The sequence below is a fragment of the Homo sapiens genome, chromosome 21, assembly GCF_000001405.40.
Source record: "Homo sapiens chromosome 21, GRCh38.p14 Primary Assembly".
NCBI classification, from domain to species: Eukaryota; Metazoa; Chordata; class Mammalia; order Primates; family Hominidae; genus Homo; species Homo sapiens.
Window position 1 is genome coordinate 31,151,859 of NC_000021.9, and position 27,835 is coordinate 31,179,693.

At 42.6% G+C, this 27,835-nt stretch overlaps 1 protein-coding gene across 14 annotated transcripts in view, besides 2 other annotated features; it reads right to left on the reverse strand.

Moving 5' to 3' along the window:
• TIAM1 (TIAM Rac1 associated GEF 1) overlaps positions 1-27,835 on the reverse strand; it is a 440,670-nt gene that overhangs the window by 33,441 nt on the left and 379,394 nt on the right. For 11 of the 14 annotated variants that reach the window (NM_001353690.1, NM_003253.3, NM_001353688.1 and 8 more), the window contains 4 exons: positions 13,104-13,207; positions 2,389-2,568; positions 1,208-1,276; positions 778-903 (listed from right to left, as the gene is read on the reverse strand). In NM_001353690.1, coding sequence (NP_001340619.1) covers positions 778-903; positions 1,208-1,276; positions 2,389-2,568; positions 13,104-13,207 — 479 coding nt within the window. Of the gene's footprint in view, positions 1-777; positions 904-1,207; positions 1,277-2,388; positions 2,569-8,586; positions 9,079-13,103; positions 13,208-27,835 lie in introns of those variants that run through there. The other 3 variants (NM_001353686.2, NM_001353685.2, NM_001353684.2) reach the window with 3 other exon arrangements.
• Positions 6,816-7,345: an enhancer, noted in NCBI's record as "OCT4-NANOG-H3K27ac hESC enhancer chr21:32530991-32531520 (GRCh37/hg19 assembly coordinates)". NCBI's record gives its function as "activates a minimal SCP1, AML or CMV promoter by ChIP-STARR-seq in naive H9 embryonic stem cells {active_cell/tissue: H9 hESC(naive)}" and the evidence as "EXISTENCE:reporter gene assay evidence [ECO:0000049][PMID:30033119]".
• Positions 24,174-24,468: a silencer, noted in NCBI's record as "tiled region #15669; K562 Repressive non-DNase unmatched - State 22:ReprW". NCBI's record gives its function as "represses a minimal TATA promoter and a strong SV40 promoter by Sharpr-MPRA in K562 cells {active_cell/tissue: K562}" and the evidence as "EXISTENCE:reporter gene assay evidence [ECO:0000049][PMID:27701403]".

The window sequence follows — 27,835 nt, forward strand, 5'->3', positions numbered from 1 at the left end:
ATAAGCATCCTTGCTAAGGCACTAGTCATAAATCCTCATTAGGCTGCAAGGACACCGTGTGCTGGAAGATTGTCTTTCCCCTGGATAATGATAAGCATTTCCATTAAGCAAAGTTTCCCAGAACACGATAAATTAATTTGTTTACTGGGTAACCAGAAGTGCCTTTTTTTTTTTTTTTTTTTTTTTTTTGTAAGACGGAGCCTCGTTCTTGTCCCCCAGACTGGAGAGCAGTGCTGCAATCTCGGCTCACTGCAACCTCTGCATCTCAGGTTCAAGCGATTCTCCTGCCTCAGCCTCCTGAGTAGCTGGAATTACAGGTGCCCACCACCATGCCCAGCTAATTTTTATACTTTTTGTAGAGATGGGATTTTGCCACGTTGGCCAGGCTGGTCTCAAACTCCTGACCTCAGGTGATCTGCCCGCCTTGGCCTCCCAAAGTGCTGGGATTACAGGCGTGAGCCACCATGCCCAGCCAGGAGTGCCTATTCTAATTCACTGATAGCTAAAGCATTAAAGGCCCCCACATAAACCAAACAAAAGGTCAAGGTTGGTACTTCTTCTCACGTAAAAGCCAGCAGCTGCACCAGTTTAATGCAAATTGATGGCATTGGGCTTCCCTTAGCCAGACCAGCAAGACACACTCCATTCCCCTCCCTCTCAGACACCCTTAGGAACAGACCCCACTGTGGCCCTCCAATGAAGACATCAACACGATCAGGGGATTCAACTTGAGCCACACTATAGCCCTGACGCTGGAGGCAGCTTTGCACTATTTACCTTAAATTGATCAACCTTCTCAAGCTTTTCCAAATCAGGTACCAGTCTCACTCCATCTTCTAGAGTTTTAAGGAATTCTACTTGAAACTCTACCATTTCCGTTAAATTTCCAAAAAGCACGTCAAGCTAGAAATAAAACAGAATTTAATGCACCTCATATCTCATTAGTCTTCCTAAACGTTATTTATATCTGATTACAAGGTTTTTCTATCAATTCTTATCAATTAAGAGAATAATCCCACTACCAGAGAGCGGGGCAGTTTTTTACTCTTCATGAGCACACCAAAGCTTAGCAGGCAATAATTTCAGCTAGTTACAATTAAATAAATTTAAAATGTTTTCAGTGTTACGCATGTCCCCATTTTTCCTCTTTACCAACAAGTCAAACCACGGTATGATGGTCACAAAGTTGAAACCATTTCCAGCATACCTCATCCTGGGTGAGAAAAGTTTCTTTTTGAAGAGGCTTTAGGTATCTCTCCATAAGACAGTTTAAATCCTAAGAATTGAAAAGAGAACTCATTAGCTTATGTGTTTTATTTTTTATATACCCTAGAACTTAAAGTATAAAGCATATGTTAATGTCTATAAAAGGATCTAGAAGAGAACAAACAGATCCTGTCCCGAAGGCTAACGTTAGAGACTTTAGGTCGTTAAGGTCCATTTCATGCAGGAGTAAGCCAACCTTTTCTGTCAATATTTTAGGCTTCGAGGACTAAAATACGGTCTCCATTGCAACTTCTTCAACTGTAGCACCCAAGCAGGCATAGACAATATGTCAAGGAATGAGCGTGGCTGTGTTCTCATCAAACTTTATTTGCGAAAACAGGCAGCGAGCTGGATTTGACCTGAGAGCCGTCGTTTGCTAACCCCTGATTTAAAAGACTAAGATATAGATACTTAAACAGATCACCCTGCTTTCGCATAGGAAATGTGACCAGGTGTCAGAACAAGTGATAACACAAAGACAACAGACCTGGCAGTCTTCTGGCTAGATTCTAATTAGATTATGAAGATCATACCCTCAACTTTTAAAAAAATTAAATGTAGCTTTCTTATTAGGTCAACAACACATACATATATATATATATATAAATGAATTGCCGTGAAAATCACTAGGCTTCCTTAAAAATCACAAGAAGGCTGGGCGTGGTAGCTCTCACGCCTATAGTCCCAGTACTTTGGGAGGCCAAGGTGGGAGGATCGCTTGAGCCCATGAGTTCGAAACCAGCATGGGCAACATGGTGAAACCTCCTCTCTACAAAAAAAAACAGAAAACGGGGCTGGGCATGGTGGCATGCACCTGTGGTCCCAGCTACTCAGGAGGCTGAGGAGGGAGGATTACTTGAGCGCAGGAAGTAAAGGCTGCAGTGAGCTATGATCACACCACTGTACTCCAGCCTGGCCAACAGAGTGAGACTATCTTAAAAAAACAAAAAAAACAACTCAAAACAAGCTTTTAACATTCAGAGTATAGGCAAAATTCCAGGAGAAACCAAGACGCTCTTCATGAACACAGTTTAAATCAGCTGTTAATGAAAACCAGCAGACACACCAACTTCACTCCTTTACGAGGCAGAGGGAGGGCAGGGGGAGAAAAAAGAAACATACCTTCACGTAGGTGCGCTCCGTCTCCAGGAGCTCGCAGATCACCTTGCGCAGCTTATCTGCATCCGAGAGTTGTCTCATGGTCGCCAGCTGAGGCCCCGTGGAGTCCTGAGGAGATGGGCTCTGGTCAGAGGGGTTCATCTCATGCAAACTGCGGCAAAATGCGGCCACCTGTTCTGTACTCTTCGGAGCACAGGGGGGAAGGGAAGGCAGAGGTCATTATCCCTCATTAGACGCACCTGACACCTGGACCGCCTAGAGGTGTTCTCCCTGGTTAGTCAACTGTCACATATGAATGTCGTCTTGTGTTTCCACAAATTGCTCCACATTTAGGAGAGCTTCTTGAATGCTCATAACAACCAGGATAACAATTGCTAACATACACTCATCGCTTACCACACGCCTAGTGCCGGTCTAATGCATTTCATCTGCCCACACGGTAAGGACAACGGAAGCCCAGAGGGGTTAAGTAACTCATCCAAGATGATGCAGTACGTAAGTGGCAGAGCTGGGATTTGAACCAGGCAATCTGGTTTCAAAGCCTATGGATCTTAACCACTCCCCAAGCAAGAAGTCGATAAATCAGGAGACATAAAAGTTAGCTGCATTTCACCCAAGGTACAAGCCTCATTAATTATCAGACTCCCAGTTCAGTAAACTATCTACTTTGCAATGTTGCAAAGATGATTTTACAAGCTAAGGTTCTTCCTGTTAAAAATGGACACTGAGTCAACTTTCTAGATTAAGAAAGATACCCATACTTAAATAAAAGTTTCTCCCTCTCCAGCTTCTCCAAAGGCAAAAAGATACCACTCCCCTTTAAGAATAACGAGATTAGCCCTAAAATAGGCCTCAATGGGAGATCCCAGTCTCCACATCTACCAGGGATGAATCAGGTGTAGACCATAAAGGTTGCACACGTTTTGTCATCCATTTGAAACGTAGGATTCCAGGATTCTAAAATTCCAACTCTTCCAGTTACACAAACAGTTCTCCAAAGCAAGGGCTGCTGTAAAAACCCATGAGACCAGTAGTTTTCCAACTTGGCTGCTTATGAGAATCACTGGGGAGCTTTTCAACCTCCCGATGCCCATGCACACCAGAGATCAATTTCATCAGAATCTCTGGGGTGGGATATGCAGATATCAATATGTTTTAAAGCTCTCTGTGTAATTGCTCTAGAGGCTATGTAGTAGCACAAAATTTAATTCACTAATATTTGTTCCAAAGCACCACTCAATGAATGTTTGATGGAAATTTTCTTACTTTTTTTTTTTTTGAGACGGAGTCTCGCTCTGTCACCCAGGCTGGAGTGCAGTGGTGCGATCTCAGCTCACAGCAAGCTCCACCTTCCGGGTTCACGCCATTCTCCTGCCTCAGCCTCCCGAGCAGCTGGGACTACAGGCGCCCGCCACCACGCCCGGCTATTTTTTTGTATTTTTAGGAGAGACGGGATTTCAACATGTTGGCCAGGATGGTCTCAATCTGACCTTGTGATCCACCCGCCTTGGCCTCCCAAAGTGCTGGGATTACAGGCGTGAGCCACCGCGCCCGGCCCCGGAAATTTTCTTGAAGCTAGTGGCTGTCCTTCTCACGCTTCTCTCTCTGCTTCTATTGTCTAATTCAACTCTAGGCACAAAGCATTTCCAGTAAATACCGGTGCAAATAAAGAATAACTTCTTCTATCATCCACCTACCTAGCAAGAACATGAGAATACCCTCCCAAAAACAATCGTTGGTGCACAGAGCTAAAAGTCAAGGCTGCTGTTTTGTGTAGGTCAGAAAAGCTAAAATCAAGTGTATGCCATGGAGGAGTTTTAAACACAGAGGAAGGCAGCCAACACTGAAGAGCCTTTCCCTCATTAGCATATCCAAAAGGGAAGGAAGTCTGGAATAAAGATGAGGCAAGGACAGGGAAAATCAGAACCTAAGAAGGATGCATTAGCTGCAGTGGCATGACAGGACAGAGGAGAGCCAGGACCCACATCCACATAATTATTATTCTAATTCTCTTACAATTACCACAGCTTATTCATTGCTAGCACTAACCCTGGTCTTATATGCCAGAAGGTGTCAGTCACCTGTCAGTGGCACTATTCAATGTTTTCTGTGGAAATGCATGTTTCTGACACTGAGTAACCCCACAAACAATTTTCCCTTAGGTGACTGACTGGAAAAATTGACCAAAATGGGCTCAGCTCTATGGTATGTAAATTATATCTCAACAAGGCTGTTAGAAAAGAAAAACTGTGTTTTTCATCAAAGCTTGTTTCAGTAGAAATAAACTAAACAATTTTATTTAGTTAGCTAGAATTTCACTAACTCAAAATCATCATTAAATATACAGTCAAGTAGGGCTTTGTCTTAAAAATTACAAAGGAACAAATACATCCATTTTAGCAAAAAATCTTCATGTGTCTTTTAGATGATCCAGTGATAACTGTAATAGAAAACTCATTATAACACAGTCATAATGAGAAAGAAAGCAAACCCTTGCCAAAATGAAAATCCATGGACAGACAGTGATAACAGCTGACAACTAACTGTGCCCTGTCCCTGTCTTATCCCAAACTCTCCTTGGTTGCTTTGATTTGGTACCTGGCAAAGGCACCTAACACAACAAATGTATAATTGGCACCTCGCTTTATACCATCCTTTTCTAAAGCTTCCAACAGTAACCACAGCTGTCTGTTTTTCACAGAATTAATAGGAAAGCTACTGCTCATAGCAAATATATTCTTCACTGCAGTCTATTACAGTGAGTCCTCACTTAACATGGTTTATAGGTTCTTGGAAACTGACTTTAAGCTAAACGGCATAAAGAAACCATTTTTACTGTAGGCTAATTGATACAAACAAGTTAAGTTCCTACAGCACATTTCTGGTCAAAGAAAAAATCACCACGCTTCTAAATAAAGACCAAAAGACTTCTAATATTAAACACTGAAATAAATGTAAGCCAGATATCCATTTAAGTAAGATAAATAAAAACAAGTTAAGAGAACTATTTACCCAGCTTTTGGTGAACTGGTGAGTGACGGTGGTCATAGCGGTAGTGTGTTAAGTCAAGCAATAAATGTTTGCAAAGCAAAAATTGTTAAGGGGCACCTCCTACCATCATGCAGTTCAAAAACTAGCAAGAACAACTTTGGCAGGATCTCTGAATACTTTTGTACTGCATAGTTTCCTGCTATGCATTTGTATGATTGTATACTTTACAAGTTTTTATTTTATAATGATTTGTATTCACTTATTCACTCATTTTCCAACCCACTTATTCCAGCTCAGGATCATGGGTGACTGGAGCCTATCTTGACAGCTCAGGGTGCAAGGCAGAAACCAACCCTGAATAGAATGCCATTCCATCACAGGGTGCACACACATACACACTCACTCAGGGACCACTGAGACATGCCAATTCATCCCATGTGCGCGTTTTTGGGCTGTGAGAGCAAACCCGAGTACCCAGAGAAAACCCACGAAGACCTGGATTTAACATGCAAATTCCACGCAGACAGTGGTCCTGGCTAGAAATCAATTTTTTTCACATAAACGTTATGATGAAATGATGTTGAACAAAACGTTATCTGAGGAACTGCCACAGAGGCAGAGCACACCTTTTATCATTTAGGCAAACTGTGTGAAATCGTGATTCACGAAAGGCAAACATGGGGATCTGACACATATCAAAGGCAGGAAATTCCAAAAGACAAAGGAACCTAACACATTCCTTTGTGCTTCCAATTCACACCTCACTACCTCTGGGTTTTCATTCCATCTGTTCTACCATAAATACTTTGAGAATTCCATTTTTAAGAGTGTGAACAGGGTTTCTGACTTGGTCTATGTAAGTTTACCACGCCTGAGGTTTGGCATCCTTAGTTTGAAGCAGGCCTGTGGGGTGAGCTCAGGTTAGTAGGATGCAGGCTAGGGCTTCAGTCCTCTAAATTCAGCTGTCTCCTAGGCCCAACCTCACCCTCAGACAGCCAGAGATAAGTTCTGGCTTATATTAGGAAACACCTTTAGCATCTCAGGGGACAGCTAAAATTCCCTTGGGTCCTCTTTGGACATTTCACAGCCTTAAGTATCCCTTCCTTATTAGGTACGACCTAGGCCTAGGATAGACTTAGCTGAGTGGTCTCTCAAGTTGAGCAAGGGGCAAAGCAGTTTCCCCACCGGCAACCCTACTCAATGAATCAAGGCACCAACCCTCAGGTGTAGCACAAGGAACTGAGTCCAGATGGATGTAATCTCTTTACTGTCAACTGCACGTTATTTGAATAAAGAATAAAAAGGTACCATATGCATCATTACAAGTTATAATGCACATACATGTTGTTAAGCGGTGTTATATACAAGCCTCTTAAAATTTGCTTGGAAACAAATTAAAAGGATGTCATCAAGTTTGAAAATTCTGTTTTATTAAAATAACACCCCCCCAAATTTTTTTTGGAAGGAATTATGAAATGCAGGTTTTCTTTAGAATACCTCTAAGCTAGAGATTTTTCCATACTGTGGGGCTCAGCTTTTAAATCCCCCTCCCTCTTTACTGTGGCCAAACTTCTTTACATCAAAATCCATCAGGCCCTTCTCCACGCAGCTTAGCCATGATGTGGAATATAGGAGGAGTTGGGTTCAAGGCTTTGCCCCGCTCCACCACTGAGTGTTACAGATGGCATCCTAGTCATTCCCACACCAAGCGCTGTAGCCACAAGTGCCAAGAAAGGTCGCCTCAATGGGAGCTTCTCAACACGCTCCCAAAAGCCAAGTATCCTGGATGTGGGACAAGCAGCTTAGGACTCCAGCAAGGGGAAGGCAGACCAGGTTTCTCCAGTGGGGAAAGTAAAAACCTCTCCCCTACTTGAGGACTGTAATCAGTCACCCTGGAAACCAAAAAAGTACTTACAGGCATTTTGAGAGTTTAAAACTGTTAAAGGGTAGCAGAGCTTTTCCACTGTCAGGACTAAGAATTATCCAACCAACATACAGACAAGGAGAGGACAATGGCAAGAGGAAATGGGCCACTTTACTGAGACCAGCGTGATGCTCAATGTTTATAATGCTGCTTTCCTCCTGTGGAAGATGAAAAGAAAGTACAAAAAGAGGGGGTAGACTTTTAAGTACACACTATCAACTCAAGCCACCCAGCTGTTTAAGCTCTTCCTGTTATGCAACCACCAAAGGCAATTTCTAACTCTAGATGAGTTCACAGTTCTAAAACTGTTCTTTGAGTCTGACCGATTTAACACATCCCACAGATTTAAAAGGGGCCAGAGTGGCCTAAAATCTTATAGCCTTTACTTAAGCTTTTTTTGGGGACAATGCGCTCCATAATTTCAGAGACACTATGTACAATGGTAATCCCTACAGTTCTCGATCACCTTTTCAGTTTCCTCTTGAACAAACTTCAAAGAAGAAATATCCAAGAAGGAAGAAGGCTTATTTGAGCAAATCAGGTGTACGCACTGTAGAAGTTTAAGTTTGATTAAATGACACAACATCTAATAGTCGACAGACTGAGCTATTAATAATAAACTATTAAAAGGTTGAATCTGATTTTGCTAAATTATTTCTTGCCATTACCCCACTACACTTCCTCATTGGAGAGTGAATATTTACTGTAGGAATAGACCTGTTCAAATAGGTCAGTTGCTGTCAAACCAGTAACACGTCCCCTGAGCCAACCCTTCTATATCTATCTCCTTCTCAAGGAAGCAGAAATAAAGTCAAAAACACCTCAAGCCTTATAAAAGGAAACAAGTTGAACATCCTATTTCCAGACCTCCCTGCCGATCACTCGGACAGCCCGTTCTGAGGGGGGATGGGAGATTCTCACCATGCACGTAACACAAAACACAATCAAAATCTCAATAACCAAAACAAAGGCAAAAAATGCAACTGACCATTAATTAAACAAAAAAATGCAGATTACATCTTTCTGCCATTTAAGTATAAAAGAGTAGAAAAATGTAAAGATGCTAGGCAAATTCAACTCCATACCAACTCTGAACCTCCCCACGTCCCCCACCAAAAGCCACAATACAGACTTTATGAACAAGGGTATCCAGAGGGTAAAAGGACAGAATACGGGGAAATGGGAAAGGTGTAATCACTGTCATTCGGATTGAAAAACAACTGAGCTAGAAAGTCATAACACAATCAAACCTAGCAAGATAGGATTCAAACAGCAAAGGCGCTCACCAGATGAAGTGTTCGATACATAGAGTCACCGGACTTGTCATTGTTTTCAATCCTGGGCTTGCGCTTTATTTTCCACAGTGCAGACATCATCAGGAATGTATTCTCATGGTAATTAATTCTACCACCTGACGTGTTCAGCACGGAGACAGAAGTTTCTTAAAATATTCCCAGAGCACCAAACGCCTCCTAGCTCTGAAGAGAGCATCCTCTCATATGGACGTCCCATGCTGGTTTTCCCATGAAAATCTACGGCCACGTCTCAACGCAGCAAGGACAGCGACGGTGAGACCCCGGAGCTGCACTCGCTTCCCACCAGTGCCCTCTGGGAAGCTGTCAAAGGCTAAACTGTGGACCAGAACTCAGGCTTTGATTTCACCTGGCTAAACAACAAAAGTTCCAGAAAGGGAGAGCTGAAACTGGCAAGAAAACAAAGCACAAAATGCCTCCCCGGGATGTAAGCGTCTCTGCCCTGCAGCCTGAGATCAGCTGATTGGCCAGCATCCTGCACTGCTCAGGAATATTAAACCTGCCCGGCTCCGACAACTTTCAAGGTATTCCACACTGAGTCAAGAGCAGGCAACTAAGAAAAGTTGTGTGTGTGTGTGTGTGTGTGTGTGTGTGTGTGTGTGTGTGTTTAACAGTTGATAATTTCACATTTTTCCACTCATGCTTTGTTATAAAAGCAGACATTTCTGAGACAAAAACAATATGGATGAGAAAGAAAAAGTCATTCCTAATGGAAATGTCCTGAAAATTATTCTAATACATTTGCTAAATGGAAAACACAATCACAGCTGCCAGGCGGCCTGGAATGCATGACACATGACCGCACTGCCCTGAAGCTAATTAGCATTCATCTCCAGAAACAAGAGTTTTCAATGAGAAGCAGAGAAAAAAGTAGCCAGTGATGATGAGGCTTTTTGAGGTTGTCACCCACAGTCACAGGAGAGAGGAGGCGGCTCAGAAAGAGAAAGGCTGCTAGACTGTCCCTGCAGTGTGACATTCCCCTGCCCCTCCCCAGCGGCTGTGACATTCCAGTACCACCACGCTCAACAACAAGCATACAATTATTTACTTGCTCAACTCTAAAAGGCCACACATAGCAAAAACTGCTATTCAGTACAAGTGCAAAACATACAGAACTCCAACATGCTTTTTCTTTATGCTGACCGATATCATGTAAAACAGTCCATTTAGAAAGAAACCAAGAATATTACACAAAATCAACAGCTCTAACATATTCAGCTGGAATAAAAAGTGATTATTTGTTTCTGTTTATTTAGTTATTTACACATTTACATCTCTACACTCAGCCTCGTGCATTCAGACAAGGCTAAATCATGCTTCCGAGTTTAGACAGCTAACGATTGAAAAATTAATTTTCAGCTTATTCTCAAGAAAAGCTTCACACTTATATAGGAGACGCATCAAAAAATATTTAGCCTTGATCAAGAAACTTCAGGTGTTTTCTTGCTCTTACTTTAAATCATAAAAAGAGACACACAGAAACATTAAGCATTAGGAAAAAATTTAAGTGGTTTATGGCTGTATATATAAATGGCCTACAGCACCACTAATAAATTAATTCCTTCTTTTTATGAAACCCAGTATTTAAAACCAGATGTTAACAATCTGGACACAAGGTAGTTTTAACATAGCCACTAACAAGACAAGACCTGGAGCCAAACCAGGTTTGCATCCTGGTTTTGTCATCACAGAGCTGTGTGACCTTCAGCAAGTCGCTTAACCTCTCTGTTCCAGTGCCCTCATCTATAAAATAGGGCAGATAATAGTATCTCCCTCAAGAGTGTTGTGAGGCTAAGATGAGTTAATATGGAACAGTGCCTAATATATACAAGACCTTAAATAAGTATTACTTCTCATTTACTATTAATAACACACAGTAGAACCCAGCCACCAAGAACTGCTCATTTAAGCTTTTTGCGTTCAAATACCCTAAGTGAGAAATTTAATTGACCAAAGGTTATTTTAGCTAACTAATTTGAGTTGCATGACAAAATTTCAAATAGAGAAGATGAAGTCTGAATCAAAGCAAAACCAGGAAGTATTTCGGACACAGAATTACACAGTGCTCCCCACATCCAACCCAGCAGAATGAAATACGAACTTATGGTTTGAATGCAGTCTACTGCATGATCTTTAAAATATATTCAAATCATCACCCAAACTTCTTAATCTTTTTTTTTTTTTTTTTGAGATGGAGTCCCACACTGTCTCCCAGGCTGGAGTGCAGTGGCGCGATCTTGACTCACTGCAACCTCTGTCTCCCAGGTTCAAGCAATTCTCCTGCCTCAGCCTCCCGAGTAGCTTGTCAATAATTTTGAGAAAATTCTGTCCCTTTTTAGAAAGCCCACTAAGAATTTCTACAAGAAAATCTTTGAACAGCACCATCTATTTCTATATTTGACCCTTCATGTTCCAGATAAGTTCAAGAGCCTTGTTCTCTGGAAAAAGAACCACGGAGTCAGAGCGACACATGGGACCAGTCAGCAAAGCCCTGGAGCCTCTTCCGTCCTCTCCACTGCCAGAACCTCATATTATACAGGACTCTGTTTATGACCTCATGACTCACTATATTTAACATGGAAACGATCTCTCTCAAAATCCACAAGGAGATGAGAACACTGACCTATCAAAGTAAAGTAAAAATGACCTAATCATTTTGGATCCAATACTTTTTAAGTGTTCAGAAATAAATGTTTTAGATACAGGAAAAATAGCTATTTGCCTAAATCCAGTTAGAAATTGAAAATTAATATTTTTAGTTCTTATAATACTGTAACTTAATAGATACCCTTCAAATTGTCTTACATCAGTATAGAAATATCTGTTTCTCCTGAGGACAACTGACCGACCCCACAAAAGTAAGTGGGTAAAAGAAATGTAAGGGTCACCTAAATAAAAAGGAACTTTAAGCAGTTGGTTTTTTAAATTTGCCTTAAAAGGAAACATGTGCATTTCCAATGATCTGCTTTTTAATTAACAACCAACAACATAATGCCTTTCAGTCTATAAATATTAATGTTGCTTTCAAATATTAAATTTTATATTGTGCCCAACTTAAAAAGACACTGAGAATGAAGATCCTACAGTCAGGAAAGAGAAACAAATATGGATAAAAGATACTGAAGAATCAAATATGTGCACACAAGAAAGTCCTACAGAATATACACATACAGGGGGAATCAAAACAGGAAATGTACAAACGTAGGTTTTCAAAATAATAGTTCATGTTTGAAAAGCATTTTTCCATTATCAATGTGCTTTCTCATAGTTATATTATTTGACCCACCCAAAAATCCAATCTCCAAGCAAAGGTAAGAATCACCCTGATTTTGCAGATGAGAAAACAAAAGTATACAGTTATGTGATTTGCTTAGGTTAAGTGACTAGTAAGCGTCAAGCAAAAAAAAGAGAGATCGTAGAGAAATATACATATCTCAACAACATTATAGAAAAAGATGAATAAGTATGGAAACAAAATCACACGCAATTGCTTTTTTTGCGGGGGCAGTGTCGTTTGGATTCAGGTAACACAGAGGTTTTAAGTTGGGTTGTGTTTTGAAGACTGTGGTAAAAGAGGCTACTGACCCATGGAACTCTTTATGAAGTGGAATAGAAGCATGATAAGTTATGGGCAACAGGCCGGGTGCAGTGGCTCACGCCTGTAATCCCAGCACTTTGGGAGGCCAAGGCGGGTGGATCACGAGGTCAGGAGATCGAGACCATCCTGGCTAACACGGTGAAACCCTGTCTCTACTAAAAATACAAAAAATTAGCAGGGCGTGGTGGCGGGTGCCTGTAGTCCTAGCTACTCGGGAGGCTGAGGCAGAAGAATGGCGTGAACCCGGGAGGCGGAGCTTGCAGTGAGCCGAGATCACGCCACTGCCCTCTAGCCTGGGCGACAGAGCGAGACTCCATCTCAAAAAAAAAAAAAAAAAATTATGGGCAACAATTTCAGTGTCTTGCACCAAAAAGTCAGGAGAACTTTCTTACTATGTTCAACTAAGGGAAAGTGTATTTGGATTAATTTTAAAATATGGTTTCTTTCCCTTTAACATAAAAGTTGCTCACTTTTAACAAGAGCTGAATGCAGGTAATTCAAAAGGAGTTCATTACAGAAACCCTAAGTAGCAAGAAAGCATAGCTGACTCAATCCCACATACTTTTGATGCTGTTTCATCCTACACAAATGAAGATGTAATAGGGAAATGGAATAAAATTATGGCATTAACTGGGAGCTCCAGCAGTGGCAGAAATTTAAGAAAAGGGATTTTATTTCATTACGAGTGATTTCTCCCCTATATTCTCACATACAGGTTTGTTACCAAGGCTATAATTTGGATTTCATTTCCTGCTATTCAGCAACATCTCAGAAGCAAAAACACTTCGTCCATGGAGAGGCCTGGTAACCACATACAGCTGTGTAGGTGACATTGTCAGCTGTGATTCTTCAGTGGTTCAAAGCATGGGATGTGAAAATGAAAATCTCTCACCTTGCTGCTGTGATCAGTCTCATCTGAGGATTCCAAGTCTGGCCCCTCGGTCTCCTCTGGAGCGGTCTCAGCACTGCTGCCCTGCTCGCTGCAAAGGCTGTGCCCTGTCAGATGAAATCAGAAGAAAATGTGGGTCAACATGGACAGTAATTGCTAAAAGCCACCCCTGTGTGAGGGGGACAAGGAATCTCGCTCATGACATGTACATATACTGTAAGACCCTCCAAGTACAAGCTCCATCACCTGGGCTCAATCAAATTAAAATGATAGTTGTTACTGTTACTACTAGTATTATTACTTTATATTTTTCATAATAAATAATAGTTGTTGTGGATTGAATGTCTTTGTCTCCCCCCATACAAATTCTTATGTTGAAGACCTACCCCTCAATGTAATAGTAGTTAGAAGAGGGATGTTTGGGAAGTAATTAAGTTTAGATGAGGTCATGAGGGTGGGGTCCCCATGGATGAGATTAGTGTCATAAGAAGAGATAGAAACCAGAGTTCGTTTTCTCTCTACCATGTAAGGACACAGTAAAAAGGCAGCCGTCTGTAAGCCAGGAAAAGAGCCCTCACCAGGAAACTGAATTGGTTAGTACCCAGATGATGGGGCTTCCCAGGCTCTAAAACCATGAGAAATAAATGAGTGTTGTTTAAGCCACTCAGTTTATGGTATTTTGTTACAACAGCCTAAGTTAAGACAATAATAATTTATAATAAAAGAATATATATATTATATACTAAAAAATTAACTGATTTTGTTGATTTTACAATTAGCAAATTGATGAATTAATTCATTAATTACTAAAATAATTAAATAAGCCATACTGAGAACAGTACAACAAAAAAAATGACTGTCCCATATCCATTACCTGAAAAATCCTGCAACGTCTGTTTTTGCCATGTCTGGCAAACTATAAACATCTTATAATACCTGCTCTTCCCATGATATTCTGTGCAAAAGTGCAAGCAACTTTCTTCCTTTGCTATTTACTGAGTGCCCACCACAGTGGTTCTCTATAGTGGTCCTCTGCGTTGAGAAGAGAATATGAGGATCACTTTCCCCTGGGGTGCTTCTCAAACTGACAGAGCATCTGGATCCCCAGGGGAACATGTTTAATGCAGATTCTCATTCAACAGGCATGGGGTTGGGCCTAAGACTGTGTGTTCCTTACTAGCTCCGAATGATACTAATCAAAACTGCAGGTCCATGGACCACACTTGGAATAGAAAGACTCTAGAACATTAAAAACCTTCTCTAATTGAATCTGAGAAGACAGTGGATTGAGTACCACTGTCCTAAAATATGAGGCACTGGATCACGGACTAGAGCACTATCAATATAACCAGACAAGAGAGAAGGAAAGAGAAGAAATGGGAGCAGAAGGAGCCCCTGATGCTTTAGATGAAAGATTCCGTCTGCAAAGTGGCTACCTTGCTCCAATGACACCATTACAGCTGTAAGCTGCCTGGCAACACTTTCTATTCAGGTCCAAGCTGGCCAGGAAAGTTAGGGAGGAAGTGGACCCCTGAGCAAACTTGGCACCAATGCTGCCTCCTACCATCCCTTTCTTCTCTGGAATGAAGCACCAACTAAGTGAGTGTACCCTGAATGGCTTAGAGGTTTCTGTGTGTTTCCCCACCTTTTGGCTCTGGCTCTTGGATTTTCTTGTGTTACTTTTCAGTATTCAATCACTCATTACTTGCTCTTAAGGTGGTAGTGGTCAAAGAAGGAAGCTCAGTTAACTTGGCAGATATCATCTATGGCAACTGCCATTGCCAAAGCAAAAGTGCTTGAATATTTTGCACAGGGGCAATGACCTAGGTACAGGTACTGATCCCTGATGTGGAACAGCTGACAAGCTCATCTGGGAACACAATGGCAACAGCACTCAGTGCTCTGATCACAGGAACCACAGCATCCTCAGTGGGACGTCCGGAGCAGCCAGGAGGCACGACTGACAGGGGCCCCCTTCACACTGTGGTCTGCAGAATCACAACCTCCTGGAGTTGAACAACCCATATACACTGTGCAGAGAAATGCTGTAACCCTGCACATCCCATCGCTCACAATGCCTAGGATAGCTGATGCTCATAAAATAGTGGGAAAGCAAATAAAAGGATTTCCTTTTTTTTTTTTTTTTTTTTGAGATGGAGTTTCACTCTTGTCACTCAGGCTGGAGTGCAGTGGTGCAATCTCAGCTCACTTCAACCTCTGAGTCCTGGGTTCAAGTGATTCTCCTGCCTCAGCCTCCCCAGTAGCTGGGATTACAGGTGTGCACCACCATGTCCGGCTAACTTTTGTATTTTTAGTAGAGACAGGGTTTCACCATGTTGGTGAGGCTGGTTTTGAACTCCTGAATGCGCCCACCTCGGCCTCCCAAAGTGCTGGGATTACAGGCATGAGCCACAGTGCCCGGCTGGATTTTCATTTTTAATAATACCGTTGAGAGCCAGGTTTCCTGAAGAGCAAACAAATAAATCTACAAAACACTTAGAAATGCTAAATAAAGTAAAACAAATGTCCTTTTTAAACAAAGCTGAGCTCCGAAAACTCTCCAAAGCCCAAATGAAGAAGATAAAGTTGATAAAGGAAGTGGGGTAGTGTCCATGCTATGGCAGCCTAAGTATATCCATCAATCCCCAAGCCCTAAAACGGCGTTTCCCACAGGGTGTGAGAACCTGTTGGTGTTAGCAGGGGGACAATTCTTTTGGGACAGAATTGTGCACTTCGTAGGTACACTTGGCACTAGGCTCCCTGGCTCCTGAGCACCAAACGATTAGGACTTGATTGCCACTGTGACAATCAAAAATGTACCCACACATTTCCCAACAGCAGCACCACCCAGTTTGAGACCCACTCCCTGGAGCCTTCGGTTTTAACTGTAAGCCCATGATACATGATACAGAAAACAGGGCTTGGGTCAGTACAACTTCAGGAGTTAGAAGTGAATGTCCCACATTCATATGGTTCCCCTGAGGGGCTACACCCCTCAGTCTAAAAAGACATAGACTAAAAGAGAAAAGTGCTCACTGGCAAAAGAAAAAGAGATGGAAAAAGAAATTCTGCCTATACTTTGGGGTAGGAGGGTGGAAAAGGAATACAGCAGGTTTCTTCCCTGAGATTCTTATTATTTTTTTTTTTTTTTGGAGACGTAGTTTCACTCTGTCGACCAGGCTGGAGTGCAGTGGTGTGATCTCAGTTCACTGCAACCTCCGCCCCATGGGTTCAAGTGATTCTCCTGCCTCAGCCTCCTGAGTAGCTGGGATTACAGGTGCCCGTCACCACGCTGGCTAATTTCTGTATTTTTAGTAGAAATGGGGTTTTGCCATGTTTGCCAGGCTGGTCTTGAACTCTTGACCTCAGGTGATCTGCCCACCTCGGCCCCCCAAAGTGCTGGGATTAGAGGCATGAGCCACCAGGCCCAGCCTGTTCCCTGAGATTCTTTTTCTTTTTTGAGATGGAGTCTCGCTCTGTGGCCCAGGCTGGAGTGCAGTGGCGCAATCTCGGCTCACTGCCAGCTCTACCTCCCGGGTTCACACCATTCTCCTGCCTCAGTCTCCTGAGTAGCTGGTACTACAGGCGCCTGCCACCACGCCCTGCTAATTTTTTGTATTTTTAGTAGAGACAGGGTTTCACCATGTTAGCCAGGATGGTCTCGATCTCCTAACCTCGTGATCCACCTGTCTTGGCCTCCCCAAGTGCTAGGATTACAGGTGTAAGCCACTGTGCCAGGCCCCCTGACATTCTAATCATAGGACTGACTTCATATGTTTGTATTCCAAGGCATCTGGTAGGAGCAAAAACAAATCTACTCTGGTAGAATTCACTCTTAATGATGATATCATATAATACCCAGAGATAGAGCTTGGTCAAAGAAGAACCCATAATCCCATATTATAAAACACAAGAGGCAACACATCACTATGAGCAAGAGGCAACAGACACAATAACTGACAAAATCAGGCCACCAAGGAATGACACCGCAATGATCAGATGTAGAATGTCAAATAAGTATGCTTAAAATATTTTTTTAAAAGAAGAAAGGGGGCTGAACACGGTGGCTCATGCCTGTAATCCCAGCACTTTTGGGAGGCTGAGGCGGGTGGATCATCTGAGGTCAGGAGTTCAAGACCAGTGTGGCCAACACGGTGAAATGCCATCTCTACTAAAAATACAAAAATTAGCTGGGGGTGGTGGCACATGCCTGTAATCCCAGCTACTTGGGAGGCTGAGGCAGGAGAATCACTTGAACCTGGAAGGCAGAGGTTGCAGTGAGCCAAGATCGCACCACTGCACTTCAGCCTGGCAGACTGAGTGAGACTCCGTCTCAAATAATAATAATAATAATAATACTAAAACAGAAGAAGAAAGAGATAATTTCAAAAAACACCAGGTAAATTAATAGAATTTTTAGAAATAGAAACTATAACCAATGAAATGAACACTCAATAGATGAGATGTAAATTGACGAAATGAGAGAAGACTGGAACATCTATCCGAAGACACTGACTTACTAGAGCTCCTAAAGAAACCTTCAAATGTTAAAACTATCAATATGGAATTGCATTTTCAGCTAAAATATCATCCACGAAGGAGACTTTAAGACTTTTGAGAAACAAAGAATGAGAAAGTTTATCATGAACAGAATCTCACTGAAAAAGTTCGCTAAAGGATGTACTTTCAGGTGGGGAAAGAAAGAAAAAGATCTGGTATACAAGCGAAAATGATAAACAGCTGATACACACACAGGTAAGTCTTAGTATATATGACAACCCCCTCAACTCCCCAAAAAAGGTACTTGGGGGCAAAAAAAAAAATACAAACTGTAACTAAAACAATGGTGGAAGTGATTATATTTAAAGCCATTTCATAATTTTATGCAAGAGGGAACTAGAAACATTAACTTTGGTTTCTGTTAATAATCATCTTAAAATTTTAAGATCAAACACTAAAAGAACAGAAATAGATTATACAGGTTGAAAGGAGAAAGCAGAATTTATAAATGCAACCTAGAAGAGGACAGGAAAGGAAAAGAAAAACAAGCAAGACAAATTCAGCAAAACAAGATAATAGAAACAAATAAAAATACACAGATATTCTAAACAAATGTAAAACAGGCTAAACGTAATACTTAAACTTCATGTTTAGATTATAGAAAAAAACAGTGCAAAACAAAGCCCCAGCTGCATGCTATATGGAAGTAATAGACTTAAACACAAAAGACACACAAGATTAAAAGGCTGGAAAACTATATTAGGCAAACATAAAGAAAGCCTCAAAAATGTCAGACACAATCGATTAGTCAGGATACAGAAGATGTAAAAATCAGTAATTATACAGCTTGATCCATGAATGCATTTCAAACCTATTCCCAAGAAATTGGTGAATATACATTTTCCATAAGAATTAGCAATTTATGCAAGTAGGCCACATATTAGGCCACAGTGTAAATTTCAAGCAATACCAAAGAATCTGTATGGATGCAGACCACACTGGCAACATTTTTCTTGGAACTAAATATTTTATGAAAGAAAAAAAGGCCAATAACACCCAGGACAGTTTTTAAAAAGAAAAACAAGATTAGGGTACTTTACCTACCAGATCTCAAAACATATTATAAAATTACAGTAATCTAAAGCAGTGCACAACAGGCTAACAGAACAGAGAGCTCAGAAACAGAGCCTCCATCCCATGCAGATGTTCCTCAACCTATGATGGGGTTATGTCCCAATAAACCCATCATAAAGTCAAAAAATCATTAAGTCAAATCATCATAAATTGGGGACCATCTGGCCAGGTATAGTGGCTCACACCTGTAATCCCAGCACTTTGGGAGGCAGAGGCAGGCGGATCATGAGGTCAGGAGTTCGAGACCAGCCTGACCAACATGGTGAAACCCCATCTCTACTAAAAATACAAAAATTAGCCGGGCATGGTGGCACGCACCTATAATCCCAGCTACTCAGGAGGCTGAGGCAGGAGAACCGCTTGAACCCAAGAGGCAGAGGTTGCCAGGAGCTGAGATTGTGCCACTGCACTCCAGCCTGGGTGACAGAGTGAGACTCCATCTCAAAAAAAAAAAAAAAAAAAAAAAAAAATTGGGGGCCATCTGTATATGGAAATGTGAAATACAGCAGTTATGCCATTGCGGACAAGTGAGAAAGGAATAGAATATTTGATAAATGATGCTAGGACGGTAGATTACCCACGTGAAGAAACATAACATTGGAACCTAACTCACACCATTCACAAAAATCAGTACCAGAGATATAAATCAGTATATGAATAGCCCAAACTGTAAATCTTTTAGAAGAAAATATAGAAGACAGCGTTTATTACTTCAGGGGAGAGAGAGATTTCTTAAACAAGATGTAAAGAGTACAAACCATATAAGATTGAAAATTCAGATTTTGCTGAAATTAAACACTTTTGTTTGTAAAAAGGCACCATAAATACAAGAAGACATCACAGACTGATAAAAGTTATCTTCAATACATCTAACTAACAAAATGTTAACATCTAAAATATAAAAGAACTCTTACAAATCAATAATTGGCGGCATATCTGATTCTAAAGCATATATTTTTTTATCCCCATATGTCATGTTTTCTACCCTTAACTGAAGGTAAAAATCAATAAAATGAATTAAAATGGGCAATGCAGTTTGTAGCAGATCATTTGCAAAGATGACAGTGATTATTTCTTTCATCTCTTTAAGCGCAGACTTTTATGTCTATTTCGCCACTCCATGAATTTGGGCTGGTGTTGTGATTTGCTTTGATAATATGTTAATTGTGATCCAAGGCCTCAAGTGACTTTGCAGTCTCTGGTCTTGCCCTGCTGGGAACTCTGAGCCCACCATACAAAGAAATCTCAAGCTAACCTCCCATGAGAGACCCCAAGGAGAGGAGGCCCAGCTGTTTAGTCACCATACGTGGGAGTGAGTAAGGCCATCTTAAACCCTCCAGCCCCAGTCAGACCACTGGATCACAGAGTCACATGAGTGACTCCAGGGAAGGTTAGCAGAACAACCAACCAGCTGAGTCTGGCCCAAACTGCTGAGCCACAGAACAGTGAGCAAGTAAAACAGTTGTTTCAGAGTGGTCTATTACGTGGTAGTAGATAACCAATAAGTGGTGAGGGGGAATTTCATGATACCAGAAAGCCAGAAAGCAGGAGGTGACAGTGGTACGCTTCAAGGAAGCTGAGGAGAGACACCAGCATGGCAGGAAGAGGGAATTCAAGTGGGAAAGGGCATTGTTCTCACTCCCATACTTGAGGGCCTTCTCTAAACACTCCCAGCTTAAGAAGTGTAGACAACAACATGGTCAAGTTTGTTTGTTTTTTTTTTAATCCCATACAAACAGAGTTTTGCAATTTCCTACTCTAGCTTCCCCTGTGCTACTCACAATAGTAGTAGGTGAGCGGCTTTCCCCTAATGACAGAAATTGGAGGAATTATCCTCTTTGTTCTGGACATTCCTGTCCCCACCTACTTACCAGGAAACAAAGCACGACAGCTCTGCTACCAATCAGAGAGAGAAGAAAGCTGAAGATAAGGCTCAGTCGTGGCTGGAGAAGCAGGATGCCCATCCACATCCCAGTACTGAGCACACTGCCAGGCATGCAGCAGGGGACCGGGGGAGAGGAAGAGGGCTCGGTCTAGAGAGACAAAGTCTCAGGGAATGAAGAAGCCCAGAGCAGGACTGTGGACTCTCTCAGACAGGGATCATAGGCCAAATCAAAAGCTGCTATAGAGCCCGGCGCAGTGGCTCACAACTGTAATCCCAAACTCTTGAGAGGTTAGAGCAGGAGATCACTTGAGTCCAGGAGTTCAAGGCTGCAGTGAACCATGATTGTGACACTGCACTCTAGCATGGGTGACAGAGAGAAACCCCAACTCTATTTGAAAGTAAGAAAAAAAAAAACTGCGGTAACCCTGTAAATAGAATTGATTGTTGTGAACAGGTAAAATCAATGCTTTGCCTTTTAAGTTACCTACAATAATATTTTTGTGACTGCAAAAACGTTTGCAATCAGTACCTCTGACGCACCATCAACAGGACAGACAACGAGGAGATTTGGGGAAGTACAAACATATTAGTGCAGTTTACATTGAGATTTACCTTTCATTTACCCAGATTACACACATCTACTTTGGTTTCATTCAAGTCCATGTGGGACTTAAGCTTAAGGAGGAAGAAAAAAAATTCTGGCCTCGTGAGATGTCTTAACAATGTGCTCTAAGCAGACCCTCCAATTCAAACATTGACAAAGAGAAACAATTACAACACGAAACTTTTAAAAGGTCTTTTTAATGCCTGAGTTTAAATCCCTGATGGAAAAAAAACGTTTGGGGGTGGGGGCAAAAGAAAGCTTAAACACTGTCAATAAAGATATTTAGCTGGAACTCAACTGTTAGGATATAATTTTATTTTGCGTTTCAGTCATTTTACTGTTATAAGATTTTAAGAATTCCATATAAATACCCATAATAACATCAGCATAAACACTCACCCCTCCAACAAAGCTAAAAAACAAAGCAAGAAAGAAAGAGAGAGCGAGAGAAAGAGAGAGAGAGAGAGAGAGAAAAGAAAAGAAAGAAAGAAAGGAATGTTACAATTTGAACTTGGTAGACAAATAATAACTCCTTTTTAATCAAATGTCACAAAATCTCAGTTTTTGTTTCCTATAAAGAGAAATTTAAAATTCCATTAAAACTGTAGATTTAAAATAGTAACTTCTTTTTAGTCAAATGTCACAAAATCTCAGTCTTTGTTTCCTATAGAAATTTAAAAATCCATAAAAACTTACTAATCCTGTTAGCTTGTTGTGAAAGTCAAATATACATTAACAATCTTTAAAAATATCAAAATAGAGCATCTCAGTCTCCGAAACATGTTTTTTCACACGCAGGATTTGACGGTGTCATCAGTCAAATCTCACTGGAAGTTACCCCGCCCCCGGCCATAGCAGGGCCCACGCAGGCAGGCCATGTGCTGTGTGACAAGAAGCACAGCAGGCCGACAGTTTACGAGGCGCGCGTGTCTCCAAATGTTATCGACAAACAAACAGAGGACCATGTGCTGCCGGGTATCTGTGAGACTTCAGAGAATCTGAAGCCCTGGACCATATTTGTTTGTGGGAAGAGAAATCTGTGCAGTTCCTCTTCCTTTGCCGCCCCTCCCTGCCGCCTGACTGTCTTCGGTTTTCAGAATCGAGCTCCAGGCCATCTCCATGGAACATCAGACCAAAATAGAACCTCACACTTCACGGGTACTGCACAGAGGCACGTCCTGCCCATGCAGACCAAGCGGCTGTCCGTGCTCAGCACTTGGCAATTCCTCTCTCTGAAGCAAGGTGCCTTCGACTTTCACGGCTATCACAGAGGCCTTTCCTGTTCAACAAACGCTGCTTAATCTACTTCCTGCAGGAGGGACACTGGTCTGGACTGCAGAGCACAAGCTTCCACTTGGCATCAGACAGACACGCCTGAGGTTTATCAAAGGATCTGACTCTGCAACTCCAGCGCTGGCCCTAATTGCCTTTAACATGCCATAGGCCTGCTGTTAGCCACACGCACTTGGCTTTCTCCAACACCACAGCAGGAATAACCATTTTTTGAACAAGAAGCAGCTCTTGGAACGCTGGAACTTTTATTATTTTTAAAATTGTTACCTTTTTTCTCTTTTTCTTTTTTTGAGAGAGAGTTTCGCTCTTGTTGTCCAGGCTAGAGCGCAGTGGTGCGATCCCGGCTCACTGCAACCTCCACCTCCCGGGTTCAAGCAATTCTCCTGCCTCAGCCTCCTGAGTAGCTGGGATTACAGGCACCTGCCACCACTCCCAGCTAATTTTGTGTACTTTTAGTAGAGACAGGGTTTCACTGTGTTGGCCAGGCTGGTCTTGAACTCCTGACTTCTGGTGATCCACCCTCAGCCTCCCAACGTGCTGGGATTACAGGCGTGAGCCATCGTGCCCAGCCTGTTACTTTCTTTTTTAGAGATAGGGTCTTGCTTGTCTCACAGGCTGTGTGTAGTGGTATGATCAAGGATCTCTGCAGCCTCAACCTTCTGTGCTCAAGTGATCCTCCTGCTTCAGCTGCCTGAGTAGCTGGGACTACCGGTGCACACCACCACGCCTGGCTAATTTTTAAATTTTTAGTAGAGACAAGGTCTCACTATGTTGCCCAAGCTGGTCTCAAACTCCTGAGCTCAAGTAATCCTCCCGCCTCAGCCTCCCAAAGTGGTGGGATTACACGTGTGAGCCACAACGAACGCTTGGCCTCTGGCACTTTTATTGTAATCCTGTGGGCTACTCACTGAGGTAAACCAAGGCACCTGCTTCGCCCCAACTGGTCAAGTGGAATTCTAGGGACAATCACAGCACAGCTGTATAAACCACAAAAATAAAGTGAACGTGAACCCAAAGAGAGAGAGAAACAGGCGTTTGAAACTTCGGAAAGACACTAATGGTGTCACTTCAACTATGATTCTTATAATTTGCATAAAAGCTGAGGTTTTGCATAATTACTGTTACATAATTCCATTTATTTTTTCTTGGCTTTCTTCTTGATGTAAAAAGGAAAAACAAGGCCATAAATGGGGATTTGTGTTGGAATTCTCTCAATAAATGCTTTATAAAACTTTTTTTTTTGAGACGGAGTCTCCCTCTGTCGCCCAGGCTGGAATGCAATGGTACGATCTTGGCTCACAGCAACCTCTGCCTCCCAGGTTCAAGAGAGTCTCCTGCCTCAGCCTCCCAAGCAGCTGGGATTACAGGCGCCCGCCACCACGCCCAGCTAATTTTTGTATGTTTAGTAGAGACGGGGTTCCACCATGTCGGTCAGGCTGGTCTGGAACTCCTGACCTTAGGTGATCCACCTGCCTCGGCCTCCCAAAGTGCTGGGATGACAGGTGTGAGCCACTGCGCCCGGCCTATAAAACTTTTTTTTAAGAACTGTTTTACATCTAGATTTGCTTTGCTTTCCTATATTGATGTTCCCTGCAACATTTCCCTAAAAGGGTGATAGAGCTATACCTTTTAATAAATTAGGCCAGTAGTTCTCAACTGGGTAAGATTTGGCTGCCCAGTGGCCTTTTGGCAATGTCTGAAGATATGTTTGATGGGCACAACTTGGGGAGGTGGCGTACTATTGTCTCGTAGTGGCTTGCAGGGGTACTGCTAAACATCAACACACAGGACAGCTCCCCACAGCAAAGCATTACCTAGCCCAGATTGTTAATATTGCTAGATAAGATCAGTATTCAAAATAAATCACACAAGAACACAAGAGAGACTTTTTTGAAACCTCATACAAATACAGTTCTGCAACTTCCTATTCTAGCTTCCCCTTCACTGCTAAGATCTTTTTATAAAAACAGCCACTGAAGGAACTATCTTTTTGTCCTAGACATCCTTCCCTTTTTTTCCTACCAATATGTATGAAAACAAATGCTTAAAAAAAAAACCAAAACAGATGAAAGTAGCTCCAGTAAGACTGCAACCAGAACTCAGGGATGGCAAACAGCCAAGGATAGGAAACTGAGTCTTACAGAGAACACTCAGCATAGACTCTCCTTATGCAGATCCTGGCTTTCTAAGCCAACGTGGCAACCCATTCAGCAGGCTTCCCTCGTAAACCAAGGAACGGGAGAATGGAGAATGTACTACAGGACCACCTAACAAATTTTCATTACAAAAAAATCTCAATGAAGCAGATCACAAAATGTGATCAAGAAACTATAGAAGGTTTGCATGTCACCGTAAAATTCCAATTATCTTATGATTCCACCAAGACAAGAAAAAGGACAGGGAGCAGTAACCAGGAAGAGTTGGTGACCTAAGGCAGTGGCTCCCAACCAGGGCTGGACATTAGAAGCAACCACCGGAACAAATGCAGACCCAGACCCCATCCCACACTAGGTGACTCATGAGCTCTGAAAAAGGGCCCAGGAACCTCAGCATTCTAGACTACAGCATTCAGTTCTTTCTACTCGAGAAAGGAAAATATGAACAAGCTGTAATTCACAAACTTAGTTATCAGGTAATTCACCTGTTGCAGACTGAGGTGGCGTAGAAGGCAGGGAGAATACTGAAAAAGAGCAATCTCTGGTCATAGGCCAGGGAATCCTCATGTCCCCCATAAGAGAATGGCTTCAGGTACAAAACATTTATTGAGCGCTTACTGGGTAATATTCTAAATGCTTTACTTTTATGCCTCATTTGGTCCTCACAACAGCCCAATGAGATGACAGTGTGGCATTATCCCCATTTTGCAGGTGAGGACACTGAGGCACAGAGGGATTAAGCATGACCAGGTCAAGGTCATGAAGCTGATGAACATAGAAATGGACTGATTTCTGGCCAGGCATGGTGGCTCATGCCTATAATCCCTGCACTTTCGGAGGGTGAGGCAGGTGGATCACCTGAGGCCAGGAGTTCGAGACCAGCCTGGCCAACATGGTGAAACCCTGTCTCTACTAAAAATACAAAATTTAGCCGGGCGTGGTGGCGGATGCCTGTAATCCCGGCTATTTGGGAGGCTGAGGCAGGAGAATCACTTGAACCTGGGAGGCAGAGGTTGCAGTGAGCCAAGATCCTGCCACTGCACTCCAGGCTGGGTGACAGAGTGAGACTCTGTCCCCCCCACCAATGACTGAGTTCCAAAGAAATGGACTAAGTTCCAAATAACTTGGTTCCAGGCCCTAATCTTCGCCACTAGGCTGTGATGCTTCTACATAGAAGAAACAAACCTCTCTATGAGAAAGCAGTTCAGAAATAATCCAACTTTGAAAGCTAATCCCATACTCACTCAGGGTCCTTAAGGGAGGACCTGGCCAAGTCTGACCACTTGAGTTTGTGAGACTGTGGAGCTCTGCAGGACAAGCCTCCAGCAGCCAGGTAGCAGCCAGCACTCACGTGGACCCCAAGGTCCCTGAGACCCAGCAAGGCTCTCTGTCGAGGACACCAATCATCCACCTTAACTTACTCCCATCAAACCTCAAACCTGCCACTCAGGATGTTTCCTATTTTTGTTACTTCTAAATTTAGACTAAGGCTGTAGTCCATCCTGCCCGTTGTACAAAATTTTCTCGGTTGTTTTCTATTTTAACTGCAGTGGTCTGCTGATACTGCTTTATCTCTGCCCCATCACAGAGCAATCTTTCAGTTATTTTATCCTGTTTATTTGCCTCCACTTTTATCTTCCACTGTTAAGTGGGGACTAGGAAGCAGAAGCAATCAGAAGGCAGATAGGCAGAGACCCAGGTGGGGAAGTGAAATGCCTTCTCTCCACCAGCAGGTCCAATTGGGCTGCTACTTGACCAAGTATTCAGGAATTCTTTTTTTTTTTTTTTTTTTTTTTGAGACGGAGTCTCGCTATCGCCCAGGCTGGAGTGCAGTGGTGTGATCTCGGCTCACTGCAGGCTCTGCCCCCGGGGTTCACGCCATTCTCCTGCCTCAGTCTGCCGAGTAGCTGGGACTACAGGCACCCGCCACCTTGCCCAGCTAATTTTTTGTATTTTTAGTAGAGACGGGGTTTCACTGTGTTAGCCAGGATGGTCTCGATCTCCTGACCTCGTGATCTGCCTGCCTCGGCCTCCCGAAGTGCTGGGATTACAGGCGCGAGCCACTGAGCCCGGCCAGGAATTCTTCTGAAATTTACTAATTTTGAAGCCAGTTTAGAAACTTTACCAAAAACAAAAACAACAAAACAATACAGTGGCTTTACTTCCATGCTTTATTCCTGAGTCAGTCTGATTACCTAACTTGACAAAGCAGACTCTGTTCTGGAGGATTTTTCTTTTTTGATGGAGTTTCGCTCTTGTTGCCCAGACTGGAGTGCAATGGCACAATCTTGGCTCACCGCAACCTCTGCCTCCTGGGTTCAAGCGATTCTGCCGCCTCAGCCTCCCTAGTAGCTGGGATTACAGGCATGTGCCACCATGCCTGGCTAATTTTGTATTTTTAGTAGAGACGGGGTTTCTCCATGTTGGTCAGGCTGGTCTCGAACTCCCGACCTCAGGTGATCCGCCCACCCTGGCCTCCCAAAGTGCTGGGATTACAGGCGTGAGCCACCACACCCAGCCTGAAGGATTTTTGATGATTGTAAAACTACAAAATTTTAAGAAATAAAGCAATGTGGCCGCACACAGTGGCTCATTCCTGTAATCCCAGCTCTTTGGGAGGCCGAGGCGGGCAGATCACCCGATTTCGGGAGTTCGAGACCAGCCTAACCAACATGGTGAAACCCCATCTCTACTAAAAACACAAAAATTAGCCAGGCGAGGTGGCAGGTGCCTATAATCCCAGCTACTCAAGAGGCTGAGGCAGGAGAATCGCTTGGACCCAGGAGGCGGAGGTTGCAGTGAGCCAAGATGGCGCCATTGCACTCCAGCCTGGGCAACAAGACCGCAACTTCGTTTCAAAAAAAAAAGATAAAGCAATGAAAAAATGAAAAACTACATTAAAACATAAACTGGAGGACAAAATTTGAGTCATAGTTATTATCAAACTTTCAGCTCCATGCCTGGCACATAGTAAATACTTAAAAAATATCAGCTCCGAGTTATGGCCGCTTAATTGAAAAAAAAAAAAAACCTTCCAAAGATGATCCCAAAATTGCAGTTTTAATGTGTTTTAAAATAATGGCAGGGTCCATGGATTTAGCGCACAGCCTCCAAAGGTGAGCGGTCTGAAGGAGGTAACGTGGTCAGTTGTAAAGTCCAGTTG